General features: G+C 40.9%; 1 protein-coding gene across 11 annotated transcripts in view; it reads right to left on the minus strand.

Annotated features, from left to right (window-relative positions):
• Window positions 6,709-13,201, minus strand: part of NT5C3A (5'-nucleotidase, cytosolic IIIA) — a 48,664-nt gene continuing 42,171 nt past the window's right edge. For 7 of the 11 annotated variants that reach the window (NM_001374335.1, NM_001374339.1, NM_001002009.3 and 4 more), the window contains 4 exons: window positions 12,231-12,320; window positions 10,035-10,197; window positions 8,266-8,466; window positions 6,709-7,427 (listed from right to left, as the gene is read on the minus strand). In NM_001374335.1, coding sequence (NP_001361264.1) covers window positions 7,326-7,427; window positions 8,266-8,466; window positions 10,035-10,197; window positions 12,231-12,320 — 556 coding nt within the window. In that variant the 3' untranslated portion in view covers window positions 6,709-7,325. The remainder of the gene's footprint in view (window positions 7,428-8,265; window positions 8,467-10,034; window positions 10,198-12,230; window positions 12,321-13,201) is intronic. The other 4 variants (NM_001002010.5, NM_016489.14, NM_001356996.3 and 1 more) reach the window with 2 other exon arrangements.

Here is a 13,201-nt window from a genome sequence, read left to right on the forward strand (position 1 = left end):
AAGCCAGAGGGTAAGAGGAGCTCAGAGACTGGAGTTCTCAGAAGTCAGCCTCTTGAGTGCAGAGAAAGGTGGAGAATGAATCTGAGGTAGGGATGGGGTGGGTGGGAGCAAATGGAGAATTACTGGCACATGTATAGAGAAACTGTGTGTGTGTGTGGTGCAATTATATATTTAAAAGCAATTATTTTAATATATATTAATAAACATAAAATATATGTATTATATATACATAAAGTTGCTGTTAAAAAGCAAATGTTGGCCATGTGCAGTGGCTCATGTCTGTAATCCCAGCAGTTTGGGAGGCTGAGATGGGTGGATCATTTGAGGTTCAGGAGTTCAAGACCAGCCTGGCCAACATGGTGAAAACTCTTCTATACTAAAAATACAAAAAAAAAATTAGCCGGGCATGGTGATGGGCGCCTGTAATCCCAGCTGCTCAGGAGGCTGAGGCAGGAAAATTGCTTGAACCCAGGAGGCGGAGGCTGCAGTAAGCTGAGATGGCACCACTGCACTCCAGCCTGGGAGACAGAGCAAGACTATGTCTCAAAAAAAAAAATTTTTTTTTTTTTTGCTTCTTGCTAAGTTGAATTGGGCTTTGGAATGCATTTGACTTCATTAGCCTTACCCGCCTTATGAAAAGAAAAACCTTGTGCTTATCCTCTACCGCAGATTTTTATTTGCCTATTTGAATTTCTTCACTGGCTGTTTTCTGTGATGGTGGAGACAGACGGGCTGAATCAGAAATAAGTTTCTTGGCCAGGGGCAGTGGTTCATGCCTGTGATCCCAGCATTCTGGGAGGCCAGGAATTTGAGATCAGCCTGGGTAATATAGCAAGACCCCATCTCTAAAAAAATTTTAAAAATTAGCTGGGCATGGTGGCATGTGCCTGTAGTCGCAGCTACTTGGGAGGCTGAGGAGGCAGGATTGCTTGAGCCCGGGAAATTAAGGCTGCAGTGATTTGTGATTGCACCGCTGCCCTCCAGCCTGCACAACAGAGCGAAACCCTGACTCTAAAGAAAAAAAGGACATGGACCTTAGAACTTCAGGAATGGAGAGAAGCTTTGGCCTGCTGAATTCTGCCTAGGCACTTCCATTCTTCCCGTTGCCGAGGAGGGCATTCAGTGATCAGGCGCGTTTATCTGTCTGCAAGGGGAAGCTGCTTAGCTGGCCCCACTTTATGCTATGGCTGCAACACTTGCTTCTATTTACATTATGGTTATGGGCTATAGTTCTGCCAACAAGGCTGTAAATACTAAATAAGGGGCCAAGTACAGGGTAGAGATGCCACACAGCAATTTTTGTTTTTGTTTTCTAAATCAGTTCTCACCTGAGACAGCACTTTTTTTTTCTTTTTTTGAGACAAGGTTTGTCACCCAGGCCGGAGTACAATTGTGCGATCACAGCTCACTGCAGCCTTGACCTCCTGGGCTTAAGCAATCCTCCCATCTCAGCCTCCTGAGTAGCTGGGACCACAGGCAGGTGCCACCAAGCCCAGATATTTTTAATGTTTTTTGCCGAGATGGGATCTCACTATGTTGCCCAGGGTAGTCTCTTGAACTCTTGGCCTCAAGTGATCCTCCCACCTCTGTCTCCCAAAGTTTTGGGATTACAGGTGAGTCACTGTGCCTGGCCAGCCTCTGGACCTTCTGACAGGAACATTTATTGATAGGTACTATATTGTGACTACCTAACTCAGGATCTATACAGATTTTGACCCTACATATGAACTGGGTCATTGATACCTACTGTGGGATGAGAGTCTAATAGAACATGAACATGACATCTGAGTATGTTTGACACAACTAGGCCGCCTGCACATGTAAGCAGTATGCACCATTTTGTTAAAACCAGTGAGTTTTGATCTCTGATTATTTATGACTTTATAATTTTGTCCAAATACTTAAAAGATAGGAAAAAAATTCATTCTGGCAGGGAAATAGGTTTAACTGCAAGACTATACATAAACAGTGGACCCTGCCCCCATCTGTTACTTTACTATCTCAGGTTTCCAGGGACAAAGTTGCTTTTTTTGAAGACTTTTTCCCTTCACTCTCTCAGGGATCTGGAGTTTTTACTTAATAAGAATGCTGGGCTGGGTGTAGTAGCTCATGCCTGTAATCCCAGCACTTTGGGAGGCCAAGGTGGGAGGATCGCTTGAGCCCAGGAGTTTGAGACAATCCTGGGCAACACAGCTTATCTCTACAAAAAGTTTCAAAAAGTAGCCAGGCGTGGTGGTGCACACCTGTGGTCTGCTCGGGAGGCTGAGGTGGGTCACTTGAGCCTGGGAGGTTGAGGCTGCAGTAAGCCCCAATAGTGCTGCTGCACTCTAGCCTGGGCAGAGGGAGACCCCGCATCTCAAAAACAAAATAATATTCCTGATTATTTGTTGCTAGATGCAAATATAAAATATTTATGCTTATTAATAGTTTGTGTGTGGTTTCCATGCTTAATGTTGGAAATTCTGATTGGTCAGGCAATTTCTTCCAGCTTACACTGGCCATATTTAAATCTCATTTAAATGCAGACAACACCCACATTTATAGTTCCTGCTCAGATTTCTCCTTTGAGCTCTAGTCTGTCTATTTGGTATCTTCTCTTGTACGTCTCACAGGCATGTCAAACTTTGTATGTCCAAAACAGCATGTCTGTTCCCACTCCCTTGCCAACACCACCAAGCCTATTCCTCTCCATCTTCCCTGGCACCCATGTGTCCAAAGCAGACATCAGCGACCCCCTGCTCTCTCATCTCATCTTTACATATTTAAGCCAACAGCAAGTTTTGTCAATTCTGTCTCTAAGCTACTCCTGGAAATGACCCACTTCTCTCCAGTTCCACAGCCCCAGCCCCAAAAACCAACCATTATTTCTAGCTGGAACTGCTGTAATAGCCCCCAAACTGGTGTGCTTGGGTTTATCTGCCCTCGCTAGTCCCTGCCCCACGTGGCAGCAGTGATCCTGCCCCTCCTTTGCAAGGAGAGAAAAACCAAAGTTCTTATGATTTATAAAGCCCTCCATGATCTGGCACCCACCTACTTCCCGTTCAACGCCTGATGCCATTCTTCCCTTTGTTCATAATACTGTTAAACCAGTTCTCAGTTCTTCAAATGGCCTAAAACTTTCTCACTTGGGACCTTCCACACCCTGTTCCCTCTCCTAGGAATGTTTCTACCTCAACTCCTCACATGGCTAGGTCCTTATCCTTCAGACTTTGGCTTAAATATCACCTGAGAAGAGCTTCCTCTGACTACCATATCTAAAATAGATCTCTGTTGGCTGGGTGTGGTGGCTCACGCCTGTAATCCCAGCACTTTGGGAGGCCGAGGTGGGCAGATCACGAGGTCAGAAGATCGAGACCATCCTGGCTAACACCCCGTCTCTACTAAAAATACAAAAAATTAGCCGGGCGTGGTGGCGGGCGCCTGTAGTCCCAGCTACTCGGGAGGCTGAGGCAGGAGAATGGCGTGAACCCAGGAGGCGGAGCTTGCAGTGAGCCAAGATCACGCCATTGCACTCCAGCCTGGGCAACAGAGTGAGACTCCATCTCAAAAAAATAAAAAATAAATAAATAAATAAAGTAGGTCATTTGTGTTTTCTTCAGAGCATTTACCATATTCATAATTGCTACTCTTTCCTCCTGTTTGACCCACTAGGAATGGAAGCTACACGAGGGCAGGAAGCATGACTGATTTTTTTTTTTTTTTTTTTTTTTTTTGGGGCAGAGGGGACAGTTTCACTCTTGTTGCCCAGGCTGGAGTGCAATGGCACAATCTCAGCTCACTGCAACCTCCACCTCCCAGGTGCAAGCGATTCTCCTGCCTCAGTCTCCCAAGTAGCTGGGATTACAGGCGCACACCACCATGCCCAGCTAATTTTTGTATTTTTAGTAGAGATGGGGTTTCTCCATGTTGGTCAGGCTGGTCTCGAACCCCCGACCTCACGTGATCTGCCCGCCTCGGCCTCCCAAAGTGCTGGGATTTTACAGGCATGAGCCACCGCATCCAGCCCTGATTTAACTACTGTTTCCCTAGAACTCAGCACAACATAGAGACTTGTTGAGTAAGTGACTTTTCATTTAATCCTCATCTCTAGTTAATACTCCCCTTTACAGATAAAAAACTAAGGCTTGGAGAAGTTAGAAACTTATTGCAGATGACAGAATCACAGATTCAGATCCAGGTCTGACTATTTCAAAGCTGTGTCCCTTGCACCTTGATCACTTTTTATGTGTTAAACTGGTACTGAAACACCAGACTAAGTACAAAAAGCAGCATGACTGTTGACTCTCTGGGTAACTCTGGAGAAGTTTCAGGATAAGTTATTCAAGATTACATTGATCTTTTCCTTGCTGATTCTCCCTAGGGTATATCAAAGAGAAAACTGAACCTGAAGGCCGGTTAAACAGACCTTCGGTCATCTACCAAAATTTGGGTGACTATTAAATAGACCATGGAAGGTAGACTTCTCGTGAAATCACTCCAGAATGAGCTAGTATTACTGATGGTTGTTTTCATTTTTTTCCAGTTTTGTCAAAATTGTTAGCTCTAGCCCTCAAAATTACTTTATTTCATAAAGTAAAATTTAAAGTTGAATAAAACCACTGGCTAACGCTAGGCTCTTTGGAGAATATGGTAGTTACCATACACTACCAGTATTTGCTGGGGCTGCAAAAGATCATTCCATTTCATTGATTCAACAAAACACTGTACTGGGGGATATAACAGCTTATACATTTGTGGACGGATTCTACCTAACATTGAATACTTGGACTGTTTTAAATGCATACATAAATTTCAAATGCATACATAAAAGATGAGCATATCTACTTATGAATCTAGAAGCTATATCACCATCTTCACTTAATAGATGAGCAAACTGGGACACAGGCTCAATAATTTGTCCTGGTCACACTCTTAATGGCTATACTAAACTGGTCTGAAAACTGAACTCAAATACCAATATTTTAAATTTCAGTAGCATCAGGTGGCAGTGAGATGTGATAGGTTGATAAACATATCATGGAAGAAGCATGAGACTCAATTTATGGAATTGGTTAGAAGAGGCCTTAGAGAGTGCATGTTCTTATGGCATTCATTATATAGGGAGGTGACTGAACCTGTACTCTTAGTAAGGGGCTGAGCCATGACCAGAATGTAGATCATGACTTCAGTGTTCTTTAGATTTACAGCATGCAATATACTTACTCATGGAAGCATATTATAAACACCTTTGGGAAACAGCCAATATAAGCTCTGATTGCAATACAGGGGTAAAGAGCTATCATTGAATCAGATTCCCAACTGTTTTTTCTATGTGCAAAAGTCCTGCAGGTAATTCTGATACTCCCATGCCATGCTATCTGCTTTAATGCAAGAAGTTATTTTCAGTTTGATTTTAGAAACACTTAGGCAGGGTCTAGTCTGCCTTTTGCCATTGCATTTTTGTTTCATTGTTTATTTATTGAGATGAGGTCTTGCTCTGTCACCCAGGCTGGAGTACAGGGGCATGATCTCAGCTCACTGCAAGCATTGGCCCCCCGGGCTCTAGCAATCCTCCTACCTTAGCCTCCTGAGTACCTGGAACCACAGGTGCGCACCATCATGCCTGGCTAATTTTTTGTATTTTTAGTAGAGACTGAGTCCTGCCATGTTGCCCAGGCTGGTCTTGAACTCCGCCTTGGCCTCCCAGAATGCTGGGATTACAGATGTGAGCCACTGCACCTGGCCTCATTATTTTTATGCTTTTTTGAGATAAGTTCTTGCTCTGTTGACCAGCCTGGAGTGCAGTGGTGCAATCACAGCTCACTGCAGCCTCAACCTCCCCAGGCTCAGGTGATTCTCCCACCTCAGCCTCCTGTGTAGCTGGGACTACAGGTGCATCACCATGCCTGGCTAATTTTTTGTAGAGACTGGGGTCTCCCTATGTTGCCCAGGCTGATCTCAAACATCTAGGCTCAAGCGATCCACTCGCCTTGGCCTCCCAAAGTGCTGGGATTACAGGTGTGAGCCTCCGTGCCTGGCCTGCTTCATTGCTTATGATGATGAAAAGGAGTGGTGGGGGAGGATAAGGATGGGCATTCCCAGGACAAAAAGGTTTCCTAACATGTGACCTTGCCTTCCAGCCACATCTGACTGAACTAGAGACTGCTGCTCACACTGGATGGCCAGAATGAATCAGATCATGCTTTGTGTGTATCATAGCTCAGGTGCTTATATAAGCAAACCAATTAGGTGTTCATAGGATCTGGAATTAAGGGTAAGAATCACGGTCAAATTGATCACAATGGCAGGTCTAAATCCTGAAGATGAATGATGAGGCAGAGCCAGAGATGTGGAGTGGGTAGCTGGACTGTACAGAGAGATGCTGGCTCCTAATGTCGCAGTGCTGCTCAGATTCAGTCACCACGAGACCCAGCTCCACTGCTTCCTGTCTCGGCTTCTGAAACTTGCAGACTTGTACCTTTTACTGATGTTTTAAATGGGAGAAAATAATTTTCAGAGGTCTCAGTATTTTCTGAAGGGCAGACAAAATTTTCCCTGAAATATCTTTAGACTTAAATAATTTCTGAAAATATTCAATCTAAATAGCCACTATGACAAGGACTTTAGAATTTATATATCACAAAAGACAGGCAGACGGAGAGAAAGAAACAAGAAGAAAACAAAAAACCATGGTAGGTGCTCAATAAATATTTGTTGACTCAGTAAAGATAGTTTTGACCATAGAATTAAAAAGGTTTTGCATTTCATATTTATTATCAGTGCTTCAATATAGAATGTTTTGTAATGATTAGCAACATTGTAAACACCACCAGGTTTTTCCAACACTAACTGCTAGTCTTTTCCAGTAAATATTTTTTCCCCAGACAAAATAACCAAACCTAACACAATTTCAAGAGATGGTGATACCATCAGCATAATAACCCAAATTACAAAAATGGCAATACTTAAAATCATGCATATTATTTCACCATTTCATAAAACTTATTTTAAAATTTCTACAAACTTTCCCAGTGTAAAAGACTCCTCAAAAGCTGCATGATAACATTAAACTACAAAATTCACTTTGGAAAAGTAGGGAGTTATTTTTCTAATTTTAGCTTTTTTTTTTTTTTAAATGGGTTAAAAGATACGGTGAGGAGTGTGTTGAGAGAGGTGGAGAAAAGGAGCTTCCAGTCAATGCATTCACCATATCTGAAAATACTTCAGTTATACAAAGGGAACACTTCGAGAGTAAGGATATATTATAAATAAGTCTCTCAGCAAGATGAACGGATGAACAGTTCAATTGCACCCACAGGAGAGAGGTCTTCTTGGAGAATGCTTGTTTATAGAATCTTCTGTAAAATAGAGTTGGCTACTTCTAATGATTCATCTTGTACTAAAACAATATCATAAGAGTCCATGTACTTTTCTAAAAGCTCATCCACCTAATCAAGAGATGAACAAAAGAAAATTAACATGCAGGGCAAAGAAACAAATAATTTCAGTATGAATCTCGTTGTTAGATCTCTTGGGCAAAATGCAATAAATTAAATTCACTTTCAAAAAATCTTTGAAATGAAGAAATATTTTCAAATCCTTAAGACCCACTGACAGACATTTTTCCACATGGTAGCTTTTCTCCCCAAAATGCTCTCTCTCCAGTCCAGTGGCTTTCAAATGGGGTGATTTTTGTCCACGGAACATTTAGTAACGTCTAGGGACATTTTTGAGTCTCATGGCAGGAGACTGCTATCCAGCATCTAGTGGGCAGAAGACACAGAGGCCTCCTACAGAATACACATCCTCCCTTTTCCCAGTACCTATAGCATGCATCTCAGCTCCTTTTTAAACATCACCAGTATAAAGAACAATCAAAATGCATGATCACAATATGTTTTGGCTGGGCATAGTGGCTCACGCCTGTTATCCCAAGCACTTTGAGAGGCCTGGAGAATCACTTGAGCCCAGGAGTTTGAGACCAGCTTGGGCAACACAGGGAGAATTCATCTCTAAAAAAAATTTAAAAATCAGCCAGGTGTAGTGGTGTGCGCCTGTAGTTCCAGCTACCTGAGGGGCTGAGGTGGGAGCATTGCTTGAGCCGGGAAGGTCGAGGCTGCAGTGAGATGTGATTGCATCACTACACTCTAGCCTCGGTAACAGAGGCTTGTCTCAAAAAAAAAAGTCTCTAAAATAACTACTTTCTCAGGTGACTATGGCAACAATTGCCTATCAAGTTTCATCCTAATATTTTCTTCGAAAAAAATTACAGATTTGTATACTTACTCTATCATTTAGATATCCAATTTTCAGAATGTGCTCAACATTGGCCACTCCATCTGCCATTCTTAAGTCTCCTTGGGAGTCTCCCAGAAGAATTATGTTACTATTGTCTTTTAGTTGATTGAAATATTCTGTATTCCTCAAGGCACCATCATGTTTGTTAAATACATGAATTAGTTCTCCTTTAAATCCTTTGAGCACCCCCTATGAAAAATATAAATCTTTTGAACAGGCTTTAAAAATTCTATTTGTTGGATTTTCATATTTTGGAGCTCTTAATTGATGTCACTATTATTTCATCATATTTGTAAATACATCTTTGATACTAGAGATCTCAAAGCACTTAAGTCCATCACATTCACCATAGCTAAGAAGGGCTCGGAGAAGTAAATGATTTTTTAGATACTATTTTAAATGGTAAAACAAAGGCCGGGCGCAGGGGCTCACACCTGTAATCCCAGCACTTTGGGAGGCCAAGGAGGACAGATCACTCAAGGTCAGGAGTTCGAGACCAGACTGGCCAATATGGTGCAACCCCGCCTCACTAAAATATAAAAATTAGCCAGGTTTGGTGGCACGCACCTGTAGTCCCAGATACTCGGGAGGCTGAGGAAGGAGAATCGCCTGAACCCAGGAGGTGGAGGTTGCAGTGAGCCAAGATGGCACCACTGCACTCCAGCCTGGGTGACAGAGTGAGACTCTGTCTCAAAAAAAAAAAAAGAAGGCCGGGCACAGTGGTTCACGCCTGTAATTCCAGCACTTTGGGAGGCCAAGATGGGCAGATCATGAGGTCAAGAGATCAGACCATCCTGACCAACATGGTGAAACCCTGTCTCTATTAAGAAAACAAAAATTAGCTGGGCTTGGTGGCACGCACCTGTAATCCCAGCTACTCGGGAGGCTGAGGTAGGGAGAATTGCTTGAACCTGGGAGGTGGAGGTTGCTGTGAGCTAAGATCACCCCACTGAACTCTAGCCTGGGCTACAGAGCAAGACTCCCTCTCAAAAAAAAAAAAAAAAAAGGTAAAACAAAATGAGTTCAAAATTCAATTTTCAGTTTTTATTTTGTTTCTAACCAAAATATCCTATTTTATGTTATTTTATGTATTTCATAATATACTGCCTTGATTAGAAAACGTTATTCAAATAATGTCAGTTCTAACTCACTTCTTTTTCCAACTATGAATGTTAAGGCTTCAAAGTTGCTGCATTAAAATATTTTAAAGTAAGTTTTAGGCTATGTGTGGTGGCTCATGCCTGTAATCCCAGCACTTTGGGAGGCCAAGGTGGGAGGATAACTTGTGGTCAGGAGTTCGAGACCAACCTGGCCAACATGGTGAAACCCTATCTCTACCAAAAATACAAAAATTAGCCGGGTGTGGTGGCAGACGCTTGTAATCCCAGCTACTCGAGAGGCTGAGGCAGAAGAATTGCTTGAACCCAGGAGACAGAGGTTACAATGTGCTGAGATTGTGCTACTGCACTCCAGCCTGGGCAACAGAGTGAGACTCCATCTCAAAAAAAAAAAAAAAAAAGAAGAAGTTTTACTACTTTTATTATTAGTCTATAGCTTGGGGAATGAAAGTTTAAGAAGGGCACATTGTTTTTAAAATATGGATATATTAACACTGAGAAGGATGGAGTCCCACAGTGGGCCTATCGGCTTGGCCTAATTTCTGGATATAGGATATATATTAAGTAACAATAAATAAATTTACATGATTAAAATATTTTCAGATTTTAAAATTATGAAGAACGATTTGATATTCTTACAGTTTCATCAAAATCCATAAAATTGGACACAACTTTGACATTGGGATGATAAACACCAGCTTGACGAATAACTTCCTCTAGTACATCGCCGATTCCAGCCGAAAATATGAACACGGGGATGCTATGTTGTTGGAGCTTATCAAAGAAATTCTCATATCCTTCTCTGTAAGATGGAGATAACAAACTGGTTATTAAAGAGCAAGATATAGTTCCTTTTTACTTAGAAGCTAAAAAAGTGAAATATTCCTAGTAATTCTATGGCTCACTCATATTCTCATTTCAATATACTGCCCAAGAGGGCTGTTATTGATATCTACAATACTACAAGTTTTTCAAACAACAGTTAACTCTTTACTTTCCCTTTAATCAATTCTAATACTACAAACTAGATGTCTTTAAGCTTTCACTGAATATGAATATAAACCTACAGTTCACAATTTATACCATTTAAAAAGAAATAGGCAGGCATAGCAGTGCATGCCTATAGTCCCAGCTATTTGGGAGGCTGAGGCTTGAGGATTGCTTGAGCCCAGGAGTTCTAGTCCACTCTGGGCAACATAGCGAGACCCTGTCTCTAAAATGAAATTTAAAAAGAGAAAACAATAGTTAAGCTACACCTTGAAAACCCCACTTAGGGGTTAAAACATGGATATATTAACACTGAGAAGGATGGAGTCCCATAGTGGGCCTATCAACTTGGCCTAACTTAATGGATATATATTGACCAACAACAAATACATTTACATGATTAAAATATTTTCAGATTTTAAAATTATGAAGAATGACTTGATATTCTTACAGTTTCATCAAAATCCATAAAATTGAAAAGAAAAGCAGAGTGGCAGGAACTTAGATGTATTCTCGACATCTGGCATGTGTCTTTACTAAGATCTTAAGCCCTCTTCCCTTTTTTACCCTTCCTGGGCCATAGGTTAAAGAATGCTAATGTTGCCTACTAAGGAATGAAACACTTACTAGCTGTCCTCACACTTTTTCTGACAATTTATTGCTTTCCTTTTTAGAAGTAATCACCTTAAAATATAACATCATCATAAAAAAGTAACATCATCATATTTGCCTAATGAGTTGAAAATTTTACGAGGTAATAAACAGTATTAAACAGGCTCTTGGGCCGGGCGCAGTGGCTCACGCCTGTAACCCCAGCACTTTGGGAGGCGGAGATGCGCAGATCACAAGGTCAGGAGATCGAGACCATCCTGGCTAACTCGGTGAAACCCCGTCTCTACTAAAAATACAAAAAATTAGCCGGGCGTGGTGGCGGGCGCCTGAAGTCCTGGCTAGTCAGGAGACTGAGGCAGGAGAATGGCGTGAACCTGGGAGGCGGAGCTTACACCACTGCACTCCAGCCTGGGTGACAGAGCGAGACTCCATCTCAAAAAAAAAAGAAAAAAAAAAGCTTCTTGTATCTTATAACTCATGCATACATATATAATTATGTACTAAAACATACTAATCTTTCCTAGGAATAGTTTTCAAAGAAGTTCGAGAATTTAAAAAGTAGGCTTATGTAAATTTAGACATAGTATACTGCCAGGCATGGTGGCTCACACATATAATCCCAGCACTTTGGGATCGCTTGAGCTCAAGAGTTCAAGACCAGTCTGGGCAACATGGTGAAATCCCATCTTTACAAAAATATACAAAAATTAGCCAGGCATGGTGGTGCATGACTGTAGTCCCAGCTACTTGAGAGGCTGAGGCAAGGGGATCGCTTGAGCCCAGGAGGCAGAGGTTGAACTGAGGAAGAGATTATGTCACTACACTCTAACCTGGGCAACAGAGAGAGACCCTGTCTTTAAAAAAAAAAAAAAGTATACTTAAATCCCTTTTAACTTGATTTATACATTCCTTTCATATGTCTTTCCTAAGTATTTTGCTAAAAAATTTTTAAATGGCCTTGGTTCAAAAATTTTAAGTCTTGACATTTTTAATCTGGAGAAACAAAATACAAATTAGAATTTAAATCTCATAAGGCTCTTACTACCTACACCAAGATCTAATACGTCATTCTAAATTCCTTATCTTACCACTATGTATTTTGTGATAGGTGGCATATTTTGGATATGGTTATATAAGGAATATTCAATCTTATTTTTAAAAAGTACAACTGACTACATAAATAGCAATAATTCAAGTCTGTGAACAATAACAGCAAAAAACATCCAAGAAACTTACTTGAGCATAACGTCAGATTCTGCCACAATTTCTTTAAGTTTAGCTTTTGGTAAAGCTTGCTGAACAAGCAAACCATGTGATTTAGTATACCTGGAGTTTATGACCAAAGGAAAAAAGACTATCAATTAAGACAAACTAAAATTATTATCTTTATTACAAAACATTCTTCCATGTGAGAAAATCTGTTCCTCATATTTGGATTTAAATTTTAGAGATTGAAGTTCATCACTAATGAATGTATACCTCATGTCTCAAAATGTGATATGCATGTTCTTACTGAGTTTCCCAGTCCTCCCAAACCCAGACTTAGCTTAAATATGTTAGTAAGGTAATGAAAGGAAACTAGCTATAAACCTTTCCTAATTCTACACATAAAAACTCAACCCAACCTATGGAAGCATAATCCTTTCTCTGATTGCAGTAAAATGAATTAGAGCAACCCCATTTTTAAAATTTGTTTGTAGTTTGAATTTTCTACATACTGAAGATGCTACTTAGTGAACAAGAGAGAAAATCTTTGTTATGGCAAGTGTCATATACAGATTAGCCTGCTTTATGTAGAAAACACCTATAATCATAGCATCTCAGTATAAAGGGCCCTTAGACTCTCTAACCCATTACAATTATGCAAACAGCCACTAAAAACAGAAAGAAAGAAACGAAAAGAAAAAAAAGCCTAACTCTTCATCTGATACCTAAAAATACCCCTATAATATTCCTAAGTCACCTTCTTCCCTGCCTGGGTCAGCTTCTAACATGTCAGTAAGCTCATTCTCCCAGGGAAGCTTATTCCATTGCCAGAAAACTCTTAATTGCTAGACAGGCTTTTCATTTCTCATGCTGAAATCAATCTTCTTATATCTTCCAAGTCTAGTTCCAGTTCTGCTGCTACCAGTTTGTAGAGTTAAGTCTAATATCTTTTCAACATTTAGTACCACAAATACAGATGAAGTATGCAACTGTTACGTAAC

The sequence above is a fragment of the Homo sapiens genome, chromosome 7 (genome assembly GCF_000001405.40).
Source record: "Homo sapiens chromosome 7, GRCh38.p14 Primary Assembly".
NCBI classification, from domain to species: domain Eukaryota; kingdom Metazoa; phylum Chordata; class Mammalia; order Primates; family Hominidae; genus Homo; species Homo sapiens.